The 20,393-nt window shown below is 39.2% G+C and overlaps 1 protein-coding gene across 5 annotated transcripts in view; it reads left to right on the plus strand.

Annotated features, from left to right (window-relative positions):
- GHR (growth hormone receptor) overlaps positions 1-20,393 on the plus strand; it is a 298,440-nt gene that overhangs the window by 86,442 nt on the left and 191,605 nt on the right. Inside the window, exon 2 of one of the 5 annotated variants that reach the window (NM_001242400.2) lies at positions 4,200-4,484. The exons of the other annotated variants lie outside the window; for them this stretch is intronic. The gene's annotated coding sequence lies outside the window, so the exon portion shown is untranslated. The remainder of the gene's footprint in view (positions 1-4,199; positions 4,485-20,393) is intronic. 5 annotated transcript variants of the gene reach the window in all.

The following is a 20,393-nucleotide window of genomic DNA, read 5'->3' on the forward strand; positions in this document are numbered from 1 at the left end:
ATCTGATGGGCATTTGAATACATTTGCTCTTGTGGCTTTAAACAATGTCTGTACAATAAAAACTTGAGAATTTATCTCCTCTGAATTCTAGACATTTCTATTCAACTACCTAGCTGGCATTTCCACTTGCATGCCTTAAAGGCCCTCAATCTTATCTGTACTGAATCGATCACCCCCCTAACTGCCTCATCCGTCAGTTATCCCCATTGCAGTTGGTGACATTCCATCCTTTGGTTGCTTGGGTTAAAAAATGTTGGAGTCCCCCTTGACTCCTTTCTTTCTCTCATTTCCCAAAGCCAATTCTTTGGCAAATAGTAACCATTTATCACATTTTCCACTGCTACTGTTCTGGTCCAAGCCACCATCCTCATTCACTTGGATTATTGCAAAGACCTTTACCTGTTCTATATGCTTTTATATTTGCTCATTTTTCTCCCTTCACCCCTATTTTGCTTTCAGCACAGTATATCATCTCATGCATCTACTCAAAGCCTTCTAATGCCTTCCCATTTCATGATGGCCTATAAAGCCCTTTGTGATCTGGTTCCCTGAAATCCTTGACTTCATTTGGGCAGATGTTTCTGCTATAACGCTATTTATGTGTTCTGTAAAACTTTTTGGTCTGCAAGATGTACTTTGAAAAATAACAGGTCTTATGGTAAAATTACGATTGGAATAGAACACTCATATCTTATACAACATAAAAAACTGTAGCAATAACCAAAGCAATAATAGATACCTTGGGAGATAACAGGAAGGCAGGCAGCTCAGATTGACTGAAGGCGACTCAAGGAATATTAAAAATGCACAAAAACAGTAGCATGGAGATGCCGGCTGGGGAGCTGAGATGAGACAGATGAATGGAGCTCTGAGCCAGAGGGCCTACCACAAAAGTGGTCATAGGAAGAAGTTCAGCCTGCCTTGAGCAGATAGCTTTGCCTGGTGGGAGAGGGCGTATTTCTTGGGAGACACCTCTGGGTGCAGGCGCTCATCTTTAATTCCCTTAAGAGAGCTGAAATCACTGCAGTCTGTGCAGCAGCCAACTTCAGGGATTTTTCCTTTCCTGCTAAGGTTATAATTCTGTTCTTGCTATTCTTACTCCTCTTGCCTAAGAAAAATCTTGTTTCCATGTAATACCAATATTATCCCACTATTTACCAGTAGCATATGAGCTGCTTGCTGTTACAGAAACACATGCTGTAATAGAACAGACTGCACTCCTTGGGTCATCTTTGTTATTTCCCATGTGTCAGGTGAGCACCCACCTTGTGACTTTTGCTACTGGTCTTTCCCTGCCTGGAATGCTTTCCCTCCAGAAGTCCTCACGGATTTCTTCTTCTATTTCAGTTCTTTATTTAAAAATATTTTTCATAGTTTGAACCTCTCTAACCAGCTGATTTAAAAGAACAACACCACCCCAACAACGTTCTCTACTTTACATCATAGTTTAATTTTCTCCATAGTATTTATCATCATCTGATATATTATAATACTCATGTATTGGCTGAACCACATCCATAAGTATTAAGATCCGTGAGGGCAAGACTTGTGGGTTTTTAAACTTGTTTTCCTCCTTTGTTTTTCTCTATTATATCTTTAGTGTCTGGAATAAGGTTCAGCACATACAAGGCATTTACTAAATGTTGAATGAATGAATGAATGAAGCTCAAGCTCCATCTACAAACAGTCCTCTGTTTTTTGTTTTTTGTTTGTTTGTTTGTTTTTTGTTTTTGTTAGCTGTTATCTGGCTGTTTTTTATTAGATAATAATTTGTCTTCCTTTACTTACTGATTTTGTTTATGTGTTTGCAGGTGTGTGTGTGTGTGTTTGTGTGAAAGAGGAGAATGACTTTTATCAAACCTGGTTTTATGTCTTCCTTAGGATGCATCAGAGTTTCATGCTGTTCACACTACCCTTCGGGGTATTCAGACATTTAAAGTCTTAATATTTCAGCAATAAAGTCTTAATATTTCTGGCCTGGAAAAATACTGTGATATGGGTTGAATTCATCTTTTTGCACCCCTCTATCATCATAACCACTCCCTGCTCCCATTCTAGGAATCCAAGCTCTTATGCTAACAATTAAAAATTAAGTCCACAGACTGCAGATAGACCCTACGCTTGAGCTGCCGGTGGGTTGCTGAAAAATTAATATTTGATGGAAATTTGAATTAATTGCCTCTTTACCCCCTACCAATCCCTGTGTATGGTCAAAAAATAGGACATTCCAATACTCCACAGTGATGGCCACAGTGCTGGTTTGTGCTGATGTTATAAAGGAGCAGGAAGATGGTAATGAACTCCCTCTGGTGCTGGACAAGGCTTCACAAGGGTGCTGATGAAAACAATGTGAGAAAATGGACTCAGGGGTTCTCAAGGCAGAGAATGGTGGGGGGATCCAGGAATCCACATATTCAAAGACACAAAGAAGTACAGATTTCTGAGGTGTTCAGGGAATGGTGATTCATTAGGTATGGGGCTGGGGGTGGGGCACAGGGTAGGCAGAGGAGAGAGCAGTAGGTGTATATGCCATGAAGATTTTGGAATCGATCCAACTATACAGCTATCAAAGGTTTTTGGTGATACAACCAGATTCGTCTTCTCACTCCTTACCTTTCTCACCTGATCCCTCCCTGGCTTTTCCAAACTGTCAACTATAAGGCTGTGTGACCAGAGAGCATGCCCCTGTCCCCAGTACTCAGATAAGTGCCTGACATATATATATATACATAGACAACCTACTTGTTTATGTGTCTGAACAAACTATCAATATTCATTTCTGCATTTTCTTTTCAGCAATGCTTACACTGTCTTCAAATCCTTTAGGGCCCTACACTTGACTATCAGGCTGCCTATTGAAAACTAACTTTACAGGTTGTTCATTGGTTACCATGATGGCACAAGTAACCATTCAGTAACTTTTTTTTTTTTTTTAACTAGAATTGAAAGCTTTGATCCATTCTCTTTTTCTGGTCTCATTTCCCTTCTACCAGATCTGATTCATGGTGCAACTTTTGGTGGCATCACCCCTTAATCCAGCAACATTTTTGTATACCCTGAGGTTATTACTTTGATGTCCTGAACTTATGGCTCTGGGGGATATTTTTTTAAAGGGGTCAGAGAAATAAGGTTGAATTAGAGAGATTCTTAGAAGTTTATGATTAAAACACTATCCCCTCTGATCTGAGTCCCAGCTCTGCCATTGACAGGTTGTGTATCATTAGCAATAGCAAGCTACTTCACATTTCTGAATCTCAGTTGATTGAGCAAAATTTAGATAATCAAAGACTACTGGAGATGTGATGCTTTGACACAAAGAAATCTACCTCTTTGGTGAAATTTCAATTGTGTAGGAGCAGTTATTTGGGAGAAAAGTGCCCTCTCACCTTCTTAAATCATCTCCTAGGGCTATAATAGGAAATACGCAGCTTTTGCTGAGAACCCAAATGACATTGTGGATTATCCAGCTCTAGTCTTCTCTCTCCCATATAGAGGCCGGTTATCTTTGTCACTTCACAGCTCATTAGCAGCCCCACTCAGGGCCATGGAGAGGAAATAGATGAGATGAAGCTTAAATATGTCACATTGGTTATTTCTTAGCAGCTCTGATAAAAGGCTTAGCAGGGGCCAGGCGCGGTACTGTACGTCTGTAATCCCAGCACTTTGGGAGGCCGAGGTGGGCCGATCACCTGAGGAGTTCCAGCCCAGCCTGACCAACATGGAGAAACCTTGTCGCTACTGAAAATACAAAATTAGCCAGGCGTGGTGGTGCATGCCTGTAATCCCAGCTACTCGGGATGCTGAGGCAGGAGAATCGCTTGAACTCGGGAGGCGGAGGTTGTGGTGAGCCAAGATCGCGCCATTGCACTCCAGTCTGGGCAACAAAAGCAAAACTCCGTCTCAAAAAAAAAAAGCTTCAGCAGGGTGAGGTTAAAACTCAAATAAAGAGGTCTGAGGATTATCTGTGATGTTAGCTCATGTGTGTTACCTTCCTGTCTTCCCTTCTTTGTTCTTATTTCTAGGGATTAGTTGACTGCAAACATTAATGGGTTAAATATAAAAATGACTGCAAACATTAATGGGTTAAATATAAAAAATCTTTTCTATCCTGAAGGTCTTTGAAAAAATGATTTTATTACTTACTGGAAAAGAAAAATAAAACAAAGCTTGCTTCACCCAGAATTTATTTTTTCTTCTAGTTAAAATGAGCAACTTCTTTAACCAGAACTGACCTTGAAGACAAATGGCTAAAATAAAACATTTGCTGAATTCACTGGGCGCATCTTACAAGTAATTTTTGGATTCTGCATTGACTACCTACAAGTGCCTTCTGGGTGCAAGTCCACAGGCAAGATTTGTTCTGCAAATCTTCCATGACCAAGGTCACCTCTTTGGATTGGCAGACCCAGGGAGTCCATATTGGGAAGATAAATTCACACTTCACCCCTTGTTGAGATCTCCAGCCTTGCTCCTCTGATAACCAGGTCTCTCTTCTGTCCTATTATAATTTATGACCTTTGAAAAGTTACTTATATCTGGGGCTATTCAAACTCCCAGCTATCTATGACCATATGCATAAATGGTTCTAGATTTAAAAAAAAAAAGAAGCTATTCAGAGATATTGGGATACCCTATAACCAATATAAATGGGTAATTCAGCAGAACCAGATGCTGGGGTTGAGAAATAGATGTGGACAATTGGGGCAGGGCCTAAGAAAGATCGGAGGCAAAGACAGTGACTAGATGGGGAGCTCTGATAAGGTAATGCCCAGGCCTGTGCTTGGAATTCTGCCACAGTGGGGACATTAGTGGGGGTCTGTAGTCATTGCAGGGTGAGAGGAGGATAGAAAGAAAAGATTGTGTGAAGGTCAGTGGAAGGTCCCCCATTTCATTGCTAAGAGAACTATGTATGCACGTTTTCCTGTGTTTAGTCTCACACATAATTGTACCTTTAAGAACTGATCACACACTGCATTTCCCTGGCAGTTTTTGGCATCTCAGATGAGGAAGAGTGATGGGCGACAGGTGATGGTGACAACTATTAATAAGATCTGAAAGTAAACAGTCTCATGAAAGGTGGCCAGGAGAGGGCAGTCACCTTTTATCAGGAGCACAGACTGAATTTGCAAAGGGTACTTAAGCTACAAGACTATAAAGCATGATGCAGGCTTAACCAAAATGCAGTGTCTTGAGCATAGTAGACTCTTAGTGTATGTTTGCTAAATATACCTTAGCTGCTGCTGTTCCCCAGAGCTCATCAGAGTTCCATAGAAACCTGGTCCCTTCCAGAAAACCAAAGAATGACTAAAGAAAAGTGATTGCAAATCCAGAAAGCAGCTTTGCCTTACTGGTTGGTAACAGCAGGATTTTCTTTTCCTTGTAGTTTATTTTGGCTTAGGCTAGTGTCTCTTTCATGAAGACAGCTACTATTTACAATTGTTGTTAACATGTTTTTCCTTTTTCATCTCCCAATATACTCTCTTCCTGTCGTTAAACACAGTCAATTTACCAATGGAATCTGCTTTATAAGCTCCTGCATTTTCTTTTTCCACAGATGGGATTAATGCCATTATGTTCTATGTCATCCACATAGTCTTGGCTTCTAGGCACCAAGGTGTTGTTCTAGAGGAAAGAAGAGTAATGGTCGACACAGGCAGGCTGAGGGCTAACCTAATGATTTCATGCATTTAGTGGTAATTCTTAATTAAGATCCCAATTTTATTCTGTTGGATTTAGTCTATAACCCGCTGAAAATCATTCTTGAATTAACACTGGGTGGATATAAAAGCAGAAAGCCAAGGACTTTGCACTGTTCTCAGCTGTAGCTGTTTATTTAGCTGGAGAAAATTTAGTGGGTGGTCCAACCTTCATAACCAGGAAGAATAAAATAGAGGTGTAAAGGCCTTGGTGGAAGGAGGGCAGTAGCAACCTTTCCATTTCTTCAGTTTTATCGCAGCCTATGAAATTAGTTCCTTAGGTATGTTGATCTTGTAGGAGCTAGTATTTTAACATTTGCTCCATCAAGTTGTTTGGTTTAAATCTAAGAATAAGCCCACTGAAAACTATTCCTAATTTGTGAAACGAATAACAATAATAGATGTTAATAGAAACAAAGACTTCATTTGGTTAGTTTTTAGAGGGGGCACAGAGAATGTAGTAACATAATAAGTTAGATTTTTGTTGTTTTCTTTTTCTTAGTTCTTTGTAGTCTTTATAATCTCTAATTGGCATTTGCTCCTGACTTTTCTCAGTGTACTTCCACATGGAAGAGACAAAAGTCTCAAAGCTGGTGTAGAAAAACCCTTAATAAATTGCCCATTAATTAGCCACCTTGATTTCCACCTTTAAAGCAGTTAATTGAAGTAAGAATTTGTTAGATTTTTCTCAAGCATAGCAGAAATTAAGATTAATTTCTTAGGTGTCATTGCTACTTGCCTACTTAAACCACCAGTTCATCTTTATCATAAATACTTAAGCCAAAAGTCACATTAGAGGCAATATGGCACAGTGATTGTGGACCCCGGAGTCAGGTGAGCTGGTTGAAATCCTGGCTTGGCTACTTCCCAGCTATGTGATCCTGGGCTTCAGGGTTCCCTTTTGCAACATGACATGATTGCTGAGCTGCTTCTTAGGGTTGTGTGTGGCTCCGGTAAGATAATACAGGAAAAGAGCTGAAAGCAGTATCTGACCCTGGAGAGAAAGTAGGGAAGAGACAATAGAGGAAAGAGGACAAGGAAGTGGGAGATGAAGAGAAAGTTCAAGAAGGAAAGTGGAAGAATCTCAAATAGAAAGTTAATTTTCAGTTTTTCCTGAGAAGAGATATATAGACATCTTCATGTGGCTTTGGAGAGCCTTGGAGCCCATCAGCAAGACGGTTGGAAATTATACTGAAACAGAAGTGTAGACCTATGTGACTTATGTCCTGGCCAGTTGCCTCATGTCCTCTGTGGTCAGGTTGATCTCTACTGGCACTGTCAAAAGATTTTTTATGGACAGCTGGTTGGGGTAAACTTTGAAACCTGATTGTTTGCACTTGAGTGCCAGAGTGTGTAATTATTTACCGGTGTTCACTAAGGATGTCAGTGTAGATTTTTAGGGGGAGAAAAAACTTAAATTTAAAATTTGGAGGCATCTTTTTCAGTCTGCCTGCCCTGGTGTTTGTTATAACACTTAGTTTGGCATGTAACAGCTGAAGCTACTGGTTAAATCATTAAGCATTTATTATTTTAAAACTCCTCTTCTCAAAGCAAAAAATAACTATCATGTTGAAGTTCTTTCCTCTAAGAATGACATTTACTGTGAGTTTTATACCAATGGACTAATTGGAGGGTTGAGAAAATAAATTTTGGAAAGACAACAATAACTTCAGAATTTTCCTTGGATGGAGGTTTCCTTTTTAAAACCTGAACTGAGCTTTATCAAAACAGTAACTGAACTTTGAAACGAAACAAGAGTGCTGAATTGAAAGCTCCAGGAAGGCAGGGATGTGTCTGTGTTGTTTATGACTATAACCTCTGGGCCTAAATCAGTACCTATCCCATGGTAGGCACTCGGTAAATACTGAAGGAATGAGTACAGTATGAAAATTAGCATGGCTGATCCTTGGAAAAAATATAAGTCAAAAGGGAATAGCATGCATGTGTAACTAAAACATCAGTCCACATGCTTGAAATGTCATCACTTTTTTATGGTCAGGACCTGTTTTTTTCTGCTCCAATTAAAGAAGAAAATTGTAATGTGAAAGAAGCAAGAAGTGAAGTATTTGGTATTCATGTGTTTTGACATCTGCAGTAAGTTTAAAATAAATTTCTAAATCTTATTGTATTGAAATTGTATGAGTTTCTTAAGTGGTATTATTCATTCAGACTTAAAGTGAAGTTAGGTTGCTGTCACTCATAGTGGACTTTTTTTTTTTTGGCATTATTAAAACAACATGTCTTCTGGGTGTTGTCTTGTATTACAAAAGCTTGCGTGTTTTCTCTTGATGCTGTGCCCTGTCTGTTGCCATTGAGGGGTCTAAGGACCAAATGAGGTCTTGTTTCCTTCCTGATATTCTTTTGACCAGTTTAGAATATGCCAGGTCCATTCACACAACTAAGCGGCTCAGTTCTCTCAGTTCCCTGGTCTTCTCATATTAGATTGTTATCTATGAGCTTGAAGTTTAGACATGAAAAAGAATGGTTGTAATCCTCTTCCTTCTCTCACCCTCTTCCCTTTTTTTCTTAAGTTAGCCTTTTGAATTCATGATTCTAATAATTAATATATATTATTATATAATATAGTATATATTCATAATAATGATTAATGATAGTATTAATAATTCTGTGTGTGTGTGGGCAGCTACTCATACAGAGGAAAACAGATTGATTAGTGGAAATTACATTAATTTCATAACTTCTTATTAAAAGAGTTTGTGTGTGTGTTGTTGGTTGTTTGTTCCCTTTGCAACTCAACATGGTCTTCTTGAGGTGTAGGGAAAACATATGCTTAGGAAACAGAGCCTTCTTTTCTCCTTTTGGTATGGAAGACATATGCAAAAAGAATGAAGGAACTAATTGTCTCTAGCCAGGGCTCTGCAAAAATAGTACTGGTAGAGAAAAAGCTCTAAAAGAAGTAAAAGTTTATAGTGCTTTCTCCTGGCAGAGTTAACCTCATCTTCATCAGCTTTTCCCCTGCCTCAGAGAGGCAGTTTTGGAATGACCAAAGCAGAGTGCCCAACCTCTCTGTTCAGAGTTAGCGAGCATTTGGATCACTCTCTCTCTCTGCCTCAGTATGAGTGGAATATTGCATGACCATTTCTGATTTCTGCCATGAGCGCACTCGGCCTAGATGAATAAATCCTCCTTGAAGAAGGCGGGGCATTTTGGCATTCACAAGAAACCATGTTGATATCTGATCCTCCCACTGGAGAAATGTGGCAAAGTGAGAAAGACTCACTCTTTGGGACTCCAAAAATGTAAACACAAGTAAGCATGCAAGCTGAAGAAGTCACTTGAAATAGAAAAAAAAAGTGTTAAACTCTCTGTTAGTCATGTGACTTTTTCTTGGTATTCGAGAGCCAGGAGGCTCTTGTGGTCTAATCTGGAAAGAGTCGCTAATCGCTGTGTCACCTTGGCAAATTGGTTGATCTCCCTGTGCTGGAGTGTTTAGTCCAGCTGCTGGATGGGATGAAAGCAAGACCTCACTGAAACCAGATGCTGTCTCTCTGAAAAGATTTCAGCAATAAATAATATCGTATATACTTTGTTCCTGGCAGCAAATACTGAACTGCTATAACCCTCTGTTTTCACTTGCTTCTAAATTTCTGGAAATATCTCCTTTGGGCTTGAATTTTTCCATGCTTGTCTTCAGCCCAAAACTTTTTGGAAAGTTTGACCAAAATTTCACTTAGCTGTTTTTCCTGAATTATGGGAGAATAAGGGCAATGCATTGTTTTTCAGCTCATAAATTCTCATTTTTCCCATTATTCCTCAGAAAAATAGCTGCTACATTTAAAGTGTTTAGAACTAGTAAAAGAATCTTGGTATGGTAAAGAATACTGGCAGAAGACAAATTTAAGTCTCTCAGTATTTCCTTCTAACTTTAAACATGACTGCACACAATCAGGGCACACATAAAAAGCTCTGATGTAGTTTTATAGATGGCCAAAGAGAAGATTCTGCAAATTCTCTCAGTAACTCATCCCAAGTTACCAAGAGGCAACTTTAGCTACCATCAGTTGTTACCTTTCTCAACCACTTGCTCTGTCTGTGGATCTGATTTCTAAAAAAATGTCATGGTTATATGTTGGCATTGACCCCTTATCTACATTTTAAATAAAGTTGACCATTTCTTTTAGGTAGCCTTCATGTGTGATGACCTCAGTCATATCTGCTGACCTACTAGACTCAAAATTCCTTTACAGCAGGGCCTAGGTCTGTCTACCTCACCATTGACACTGTAGTGCTCAGCAGGGTATGACACATGTAGTAAAAACTGATTGTTGAATGAATTAAATGACCATAAGTACAGTTGTTTTTGCTGCAATTTGTTCATTGATTTGTCCACTAAGACATGCATGCATGTATTCAGTGAGTATCACTGAGTCTCTACTTTATGCCAGGTATTGGTATGAATGTTGTGAATATTTCTTTGCTTTGATGGATAACACAGAAGTTTTGCTGATACACAACAAAATAATTATATTATTTGAGTACAATTACTATGCCTATAGTTGGAATATTAGTCCAATATAGCTAAAGGCAATCCCAGGGAATTTATCACTTACTGAGCGTCCATGATGTGCCTGGCCCTGTGTTAGGTACTGAGAAGAGATCAATTAGACAGTTTCTGCAGGAAGTCACACATAGGTTAACAGTGCCAAGACAAATCCTAAAGTACCTATTATACAAGGGGAACTATAATAAAGAGCCAGGTGAGTTGAAGGCAGGAGAGGTATCATTGTACCACAAGATACCTTGTGATCTTGTGTAAATCCCCTGAACAATCAGGAAAAGCTTTATGGCATAGCTTTATGGTCAGAGATCTCATGGGGACAGGCAGTTAGTTGCAATGCCTTTTATAGCCACATCCTTCACTCCTTAACCCTGCACTGTCTGCCATTCATTCTCTCTGTGCTTTCAGCCTTGAGAAGCTGGCCAAATTTCTCAGGACTGGAAAATAAACTGGAATGACACTCAGGCACTTGATATCAAGATTATTAGGGTCATGATTGTGTTTAAGACCCTAAGACCTCTTGATGCTTTTACAAGAATGGGTACTTTTTTTGTCCCTGTTTTCTTCTTTTGCCCCAAGTTTCAAGAGCATGTTACAGCAGCAGTATAAGCATACACAATCAAAGGTGATTGAAGTGAGGACAACTGGCTCAATGAGCTCCAGCCACTTCAACTCTCCTCCTAGTCCCTGTCCCCTTGCCCGGAATGCTTCACCCTCAGACTTTGACATAGCAGGCTTCTTTTTGTCATTCAGATCTCAGCTCAACTGCAAGGATTTCTCTGACCTGAAGTTACATATGTGTCACCCCTTCTGGTCTCCGTTGCTCTCTATCACATCACCTATTGGACTACCTTTATAGCATTTATCTCCACCTGATTGTGTCCTTTTCACTGTTTTTCTTTAAACTTTTTATTGTCAATTTTCTTTCACTAGATGCCAGTTCCATGAAGTAGGAAACCTTTACCACTGGTCTTGAGTGCTCTTGAAAGTGTACGTGTGCAATAGGCACTCAAAAATGTTTATGGAATGATCAGCTGGATGCGTATATGGCAAGTGGCGAGAAGCCAAGGGAATAGGACAAGAGTCCTATTGTGCTCCTTGCCTGAAGAAAACCTCTTGCAAGAATCATAGGCTGTTCTTGAGGGTGCCTTTGCCTTGGATTCGCCAAAAATTCTTCTGTTTCTTTTGTGTGAAAATTTTCCCCTCATACACAGCAATGGGCACTAAGAATGCATATATCCAGACTTTTCAGGTTACAGGATGGCATCTCAGATATAGTCTTCCTTTGATCTATATACTATGAAGCCATAATTGCTTAGCCAGTATCTTTTTCAGGATTTACTCCATATTTCTTATTCTAGGCCTTTCAGGTGGCAGCTGCACTGGCTTTCAGATATAATTTAGAATTTAGTTTCGGATTTGTAAAGCTACTCATGCTGCAGATCTTCTCTGAAACATTTCTGTCACATTTTAGAAAGCTTTACATTTTCATCTGCTAACGATTTTCATCTGCCAAAGAGCCCATCTACTTAAAAAGCAGATCACTGAAGCCACACTTGGCACATATTACTTTGGCTTATTTTCTTTTGATTTTTTTGCTTTGCTGGGATTACTTATTTATGAAGAAAGAGAGAATATTGACTTCTTATTTTAGAAGAGAGGATATTACTTGGGTTGAGAGTTCTAGTTATATAAAATGTATTTATCTAAGTTGTTAACTATATCAAAAATGGAGCAGTCAATCTTTGGAAATAGTTCAGGGTGAAATGTTTTTAGCATGTTCACATATTCTCTTTGCTGTTTTTAAATAATTTGGCAAAGCTTATTTGCATTTCCCAAATTAACAATTTTGGCCAAGAGGAAAAGCTAAAGTGTTGGTTTTTCTCAGCTCAACTTTTTGGGTGTAATTAATTTATAAGCAAGATTTTATGAAGGGAGAACAGATAGGACCTTTCTACAAAGTCCCTGAGCCAAAATAAACACCCCATTGTTCCATCGTTTTGTATTGCACATAGGAAAACATCCATCCCTATCATTATTCTGTTAAAGGGACACAGATTACCAGATTTGTAATTTTAAAAAAGGCCATTTGTTGATTGAGCCACTTTGCGTATAAAGGGTGGTATATGTTGCCTGCCGAATTTCTGTACAAGAAAAAAATCATATATCAAAAAAATTTTTCTCATTCATCATATAAGAAATTTATGCATTTTAGTATGTACCAGAAGAAATGGCTTTGGCATTTTCTGTTTTTAGCAGTCTGTTGAAATTTCTTCATTAAAGACATTTTCTGTTTGAAGGTTAAAATGACCATATAAATACAGATTAATTCAGTTTTAATAGGTGCATCTTCCTGTCATTTACCACTTTCTCTCCTCAATATCAGCTACAGTGATCAACATATATTTAGCAGTGAAACTGATATATTCTGTTTATCTTCAAATCATAAGCTTTTTGTTTAAATACAAAGGAAAATCTTATACCTCTGATTTTAATATGACAAATCAAAAAGTCCACACCAAACTCCCAACTCATCCCAAAAAAGAGATTGCTATCTACTCATCACTGTTCTCTGCTTCTAAGATTTGTTTCCCTTGGGGTTACTGTTTGAGCAACTTTTCTTACTTCCAAGATTGTTTTTGTGGTTTTAAGAAAGAATCTGAATTCCAAGATTATTTTTCTGGTTTTAAGAAAGAGTCTGAAAATCTAGAGATTACTTACCTTGTGGTGAGGTGGTTGTCTATGCTTCTGTTCAACAAAGGCCTCATGTACTGAATGGAAAAAAAGCATCAGGACCTATAATTTTCTAGGCATTATGCAAGATAATAGAGGAGACAAAAATGATGTCTTGCTTCAAAGTCTTAGATCTATTTCCCTTTGGGGGTTGAGGAATGAGAAAGAGATTTTTAGATGAAAAACAGGAAGCCCAATGAGGACGTGTGGCAATAGTTCCTAAAATGAGCAAAGAGATAAATTTACTCTTTTATATGATTACAACCAAATCACACACTGGTGAGTTTCAAAACAGTAGTTTTCATTTAGAAAGCAAATTAAGTGGAATAATTCAACTGAGTTTCACTGCAATGGGATTCATTCTAGATGGTTCAACTCTGGAATTAGAAACAATATCTAAGGATGTTGCTGATAGTAGTCAGCAGATAAATACCAGTAAGTCGTATACAGGTATACATCATTTTATTGTGATTTGCTTTATTGTGTTTTGTAGATAATTGTGTTTTTACAAATTGAAGGTTTGTTGCAACCCTGTAACGAGCAAGTCTTCTGGCTCCATTTTTCCAATGACTTGTGCTCATTTTGAGTCTCTGTGTTACATATTGGTAATCCTTGCAATGTTTCAAACTTTTTTATTATTATTATATCTGTTTTGGTGATCTGTGATGAGTGACGTTTGATGCTATTATTATGTTGTTTTGGCACACCATGAATTGCACCCATATAAGGTGGGGAACTTAATCACTAAATGTTGTGTGTGTTCTGACTGCTTCACTGAATGGCTCTTCCCCTATCTCTCTCCCTCTCCTCTGGCTTCCCTATTCCCTGAAACACAACAATATTGAAATTAGGAGCGTTAATAATGCTACAATGACCTCTACGTGTCTGATATGGTTTGGTTGTGTCCCCAACCAAATCTCAACTTGAATTGTATTTCCCAGAATTTCCATGTGTTATGGGAGGCACCCAGGGGGTGGTAATTGAATCATGGGAGCCAGTCTTTCCCATGCTATTCTCATGATTGTGAGTAAGTCTCACTAGATCTGATGGGTTTATCAGGGGTTTCCACTTTTGCTTCTTCCTCATTTTTCTCTTGCCACCACCATGTAAAAAGGGCCTTTTGCCCCCAGCCATGATTCTGAGGCCTCCCAAGGCATGTGGAACTGTAAGTCCCATTAAAGCTATTTTTGTTCCCAGTTTCTGGTACGTCTTTATCTGCAGCATGAAAACAAACTAATACAGTAAATTGGTACCAGTAGAGTGGGGTATTGCTGAAAAGATACCCAAAAATGTGGAAGTGACTTTGGAACTGGGTAACTGGCAGAGTTTGGAAGAGTTTGGAGGGCTCAGAAGAAGACAGGAAAATGTGGGAAAGTTTGGAACTTCCTAGGGACTTATTGAATAACTTTGACCCAACAGCCTGATAACGATATGGACAATAAAGTCCAGGCTGAGGTGGTTTCAGATGGAGATGAGGAACTTGTTGGGAACTGGAGAAAATATGACTCTTGTTATGTTTTAGCAAAAAGACTGGCAGCATTTTGCCCTAGAGATTCATGGAACTTTGAAAGTGAGAGATGATTTAGGGTAACTGGCAGAAGAAATTTCTAAACAACAAAGCATTCAAGAGGTGAATGCTTGGGTGCCATTAAAAGCATTTCATTGTGAAAGGGAAACAGAGCATAAAAGTTCAGAAAATTTGCAGCATGACAATGCAGTAGAAAAGGAAAACCCATTTTTTGAGGAGAAATTCAAGCCGGCTGCAGAAATTTGCATGAGTAGCAAGGAGCCTAATGTTAATCCCCTAGACCATGGGGAAAATGTCTCCAGGCCATGTCGGAGACCTTCATGGCAGACCTCCCATCACAGACCCAGAGGCCCAGGAGGAAAAATTGTTTTTCTGGGCCAGGCCCAGGGTCCCTGTGCTGTATGCAGCCTAAGGACTTGGTGCTCTATGTCCCACCTGCTCCAGCTGTGGCTGAAAAGGGCCAACACAGAGCTCAGGCTGTGGCTTCAGAGGGTGGAAGCCCCAAGCCTTGGCAGCTTCCATATGGTATTGAGCCTGTGGGTGCACAAAAGTCAAGAACTGAGGTTTGGGAACCTCCGCCTAGATTTCGGAAGATGTACGGAAATGCCTGGATGCCCAGGCAAAAGTTTGCTGCAGAGTTGGGGCCCTCATGGAGAACCTGTGCTAGGGCAGTGCAGAAAGGAAATGTGGGGTCAGAGCCCCCACACAGAGTCCCTGCTGGGGCACTGCCTAGTGAAGCTGTGAGAAGAGGGCCACTGTCCTCCAGACCCCAGAATGGTAGATCCACCAACAGCTTGCACTGTGCTGCTGGAAAAGCCGCAGTCACTCAATGCCAGCCCATGAAAGCAGACAGGAGGGAGACTGTACTCTGCAAAGCCTCAGAGTAGAGCCGCCCAAGACCATGGGAACCCACCTCTTCCATCAGCGTGACCTGGATGTGAGACATGGAGTCAAAGGAGATCATTTTTGAGCTTTAAAGTTTGACTGCCCTGCGGCATTTCAGACTTGCATGGACCCTGTAATCCTAATCCTATTGTTTTGTCCAATTTCTTCCATTTGGAACAGCTGTATTTACCCAATACCTGTTGTATCTAGGAAGTAACTAGCTTGCTTCTGATTTTACAGGCTTATAGGCAGAAAAGATTTGCCTTGTCTAAGGTAAGACTTTGGACTGTGGACTTTTGGGTTAATGCTGAAATGAATTAAGACTTTGGGGGACTGCTGAGAAGGCATTATTGGTTTTAAAATGTGAAGACATGAGATTTGGAGGGGCCAGGGCCAGAATGATATGGTTTGGCTGTGTCCCCACCCAAATCTCACCTTGAATTGTATCTCCCAGAATTCCCACAGGTTGTGGGAGGGACCCAGGGGGAGGTAATTGAATCATGGGGGCCAGTCTTTCCTGTGCTGTTCTCATGATAGTGCATAAGTCTCCTGAGATCTGAGGGGTTTATCAGAGGTTTCTGCTTTCGCTTCTTCCTCATTTTTCTCTTGCCGCCACCATGTAAGAAGAGTCTTTTGCCTCCTGCCATGATTTGGAGGGCTCCCATACATGTGGAACTGTAAGTCCAATTAAACCTCTTTTTGTTTCCAGTTTCAGATATGTCTTTATCAGCAGCATGAAAACAAACTAATACAGTGTCCAAGGGAAAGGAAAAGTCACATGTCTCTCACTTTAAATTAATTAAGCTTAGTGAGGAAGGCATGTTGAAAGCCAATATAGGCTAAAAGCTAGGCCTCTTGCACCAAAGAGTTATCCAAGTTGTGAATGCAAAGGAAAAGTTATTGAAGGAAATTAAAAGTCTACTCCAGTGAATACATAAGTTATTAAAAAAAAAAAAGTGACACAGCCTTAGTGCTGATATGGAGAAAGTTTGAGTGGTCTGGATAGAAAATCAAACCAGCCACAACATTTTCTTAAGCCAAAGCCTAATCCAGAGCAAGGCCCTGACTCTCTTCAGTTTTATGTAAGCTGAGAGAGAAAGCTACAGAAGAAATGTTGGAAGCTAGCAGAGGTTGGAAATTTAAGAAGCCATCTGTGTAATAACATAAAAGTACAAGATGAACCAGCAGGTGCTAATTTAGAAGGTGCAGAAAGTTATCCAGAAGATATAGCTAAGATCAGTGATGAAGATTACTAAACAACAGATTTTCAGTATAGATAAAATAGCCTTCTATTGGAAGAATACGTCAATAGAAGATCTAAGACTTTCATAGTTAGAAAGAAAAAGTCAATGCTGGGCTTTAAGACTTCAAAACTTCAAAGGGAAGGCTGATCCTTTTTTTATGAGTTGATGAAGTTGGTGACTTTAAGTTGAAGCCATTCTCCCCAGCCTTGCTAGAGAAACCAAAAGTCAAATTCAGGAAATACAGAGAACCCCTGCAAGATTCTACACAAGAAGATCATACCCCAGACACATAATCATCAGATTTTCCAAGGTCAAAATAAAAGAAAGAATGTTAAAATCAGCTAGAGAGCAAGGGCAGGTCACCTACAAAAGGAACCCCATCGGGCCAACAACAGACCTCTCAGCTAAAACCCTATAAGCCAGAAGAGATTGGGGGCCTATATTCAACATTCTTAAAGAAACAAATCTTCAACCAAGAATTTCATATCCAGCTGAACTAAGTTTCCTATGTGAAGGAGAAAGAAGATTCAGAGAAGCAAATGTTGTGGGAGTTTGTTAGTACCAGACCTCCCTTATAAGAGATCTTGAAAGGAGCACTAAATATAGAAAGGAAAGACAGCTACCATCTAATACTAAAACACACTTAAATACACAGACCAGTGACACTATAAAGCAACCACAAAAGCAAGCCAGCATAACCAGCTAACAACACAATGACACTATCAAGTTCACACATATCAATACTAACCCTGAATGTAAATGGGCTAAATGCCTCACTTAAAAGGCACAGAGTGGCAAGCTGGATAAAAAAGAAAGACCCAATGGTATCCTGTCTTCAATAGACCCATCTCACATAGCCTCAAAATAAAGGGGTGGAGGAAAATCTACCAGGCAAATGGAAAACAGGAAAAAGCAGGGGTTGCAATCCTAATTTCAGACAAACAGACTTTAAACCAACAAAGATCAAAAAAGACAAAGAAGGGCATTACATAATGGTAAACGGTTCAATTCAACAAGAAGACCTAACTACCCTAAATGTATATGTACCCAACACAAGAGCACTGTATTCATAAGGCAAGGTCTTAGATACCTACAAAGAGACATAGACTCCCTCACAATATTAGTGGGAGACTTCAACACTCCACTGACAGTATTAGATCATCAAGGCAGAAAATTAACAAAGACATTTAGGACCTGAACTCAACATTGGACTAAATGGATCTGATAGACCTTTACAGAACTCTCCACCTAAAAATAACAAAATATACATTCTTCTCATCACCACGTGGCACATACTCTAAGATTGATCACATAATTGGAAACAAAACAATCCTCAGCAAATGCAAAAGAGCTGAAATCATACAATTTCAAAAATCAGAGGGCCCTTAAGAATTATGCTAAATCTACTCTGTCTATACTCTATAAATGGAACACAATACATGTGTAATAGTACACCTGTTTACAGTATGGCTTGCTGAATATTTTAAGGCCACAGTTGAGACCTCCTGCACAGAAAAAAAAGATTTTTTTCTAAATATTAGTCCTCATTGAGAAAGCACCCAGTGACCAAAGGGCTCTGATGGAGATGTACAAGGAGGTTAATGTAGTTTTCGTGCCTGTTAACACAATGTCCATTCTGCAGCCTATGTATCAAGGAGTAATTTTGGCCTTTAAGTCTTATTATTTAAGAAATACATCTTGTAAGGCTATAGTTGCCATAGATAGTCATTCTTCTGATGGATCTAAGAAAAATACATTAAAAACCTTATGGAAAGGATTTACCATCCTAGATACCATTAAAAACATTTATGATTCATAGGAGGAGGTCAAAATATCAACCTTAACAGCAGTTTAGAAGAAGTTGATTCCAATTCTCATAGATTACTTTGAATTGATTCAAGACTTCAGTGGAGAAAGCCGCTGCAAGTGTAGTGGAAATAGCAAGAAAACTTGAATTAGAAGTGGAGCCTGAAGATGTGACTGAATTGCTACAGTCTCATGATAAAACTTGAACAGATGAGGAATCACTTCTTATGGATGAACAAAAAAATAGTTTCTTGAGATGGAATCTACTCCTGGTGAAGATGCCATGAACACTGTTGAAATGGCAAAAGATTTAGAATATGACATAAACTTAGTTGATAAAGCAGCAGCCAGATTTGAGAAGATTGACTCCAATTTTAAAAGAAGTTCTGTGGGTAAAATGCTGTCAAGGAGTATCACATGCTACACAGAAATCTTTTATGAAAGGAAGAATCAATCAGTGTGTCAAACTTTACTGTTGCCTTATTTTAAGAAATTATCACAGCCACCCCAGACTTCAGCAACCACCACCATGATCACTCAGAAGGTGTCAACATTGAGACAAGACTCTCCACCGGCAAAAAGATTATGACTCACTAAAGGCTCAGATGATGATTAGCATTTTTAGCAATAAAGTATTTTTAAATTAAAGTATATACATTGTGCTCTTTTTAGACATAATGCTCTTGCACACTTACTAGACTACAACAGATTATACACGTAACTTTTTTTTTTTTTTTTGAGACAGAGTCTTGCTCTGTAGCCCAGTCTGGTGTGCAGTGGTGCAATCTTGGCTCACTGCAAGCTCTGCCTCCCGGGTTCACGCCATTCTCCTGCCTCAGCCTCCCGAGTAGCTGGAACTACAGGTGCCCACCACAATGCCCAGCTAATTTTTTGTATTTTCAGTAGAAACGGGGTTTCACCATATTAGCCAGGATGGTCTTCATCTCCTGACCACGTGATCCACCCTCCTCAGCATCCCAAAGTGCTGGTATTACAGGTGTGAGCCACCGCGCCTGGCCAGACATAACTTTTATATACAGTAGGAAACCAAAAAATTGTGTGGCTTGCTTTATTGAGATATTTGCTTCATTGCAGTGGTCCGGAACTGAACTGCAGTATCTTCAAGGTATGTCTGTATTCAAGTTTATATTTTGACATACATTCTTCTTTACTTGTTAAAATCATGGTCACCTCATTATTATATGACTGATCAGAATTTGCAGGGTTGCTTTGACCATATACCATTGTTCTACAACTACGCAGATGTCTGAGTCCTAAAGGTGAATCTGTCTGGCCAGTTCTGGGTTTAACGGCCTATATAAAAAGTAGATGTTACACACCTTGTATAACTGAAGCGCCCTATCACGGACACAGCTTAACTCTTGGGTGGGTCACTTAGTCTGCTTGGTTGAGGTTTCAGTGCTTTTCACATCTACAGAAATGTCCTATTTGTCTAAGGCAATTTTATGAAGTAAATTTACTCTTGTCATCCTTTCCAACCTGAAAATAGAGGATATATAATTTTTAGCATTCCATTATTACCTAGGGGATGGTCTTCAGTCATTCTTCCCTGAATTTATTACACTGGCCCTATCTTCTTCACCTGAAATAAGTTAAATGTAGAATTAGCACTAAAGAGAAATAGAATGAACTTCTTCCGGAATGGGAATAGGAAATGAAAGAGAGTAAATCAGAAGTGAATCACTTCTTTTTTTTTTTTTTTTTTTTTTTTGCTTTGCAAATCTATATTTTTTTCCAGCTTTATTTAGGTATGATCAGCAAATAAAAGTTGTATATATTCAAGGTGTATGACATGATGATTTGATATATGTGTACATTTTATAATGATCACCATGATCAAATTAATTAACACATCCTTCACCACACAGTTACCATTTGTGTGTGTGTGTGCAAGAGGAGGTAAGGGAGTTTAATCATTTTTGAACACTAGCTACAACATAATTCAATTAAAATTCTGAGAA

Source organism: Homo sapiens, chromosome 5, assembly GCF_000001405.40.
Source record: "Homo sapiens chromosome 5, GRCh38.p14 Primary Assembly".
NCBI lineage: Eukaryota > Metazoa > Chordata > Mammalia > Primates > Hominidae > Homo > Homo sapiens.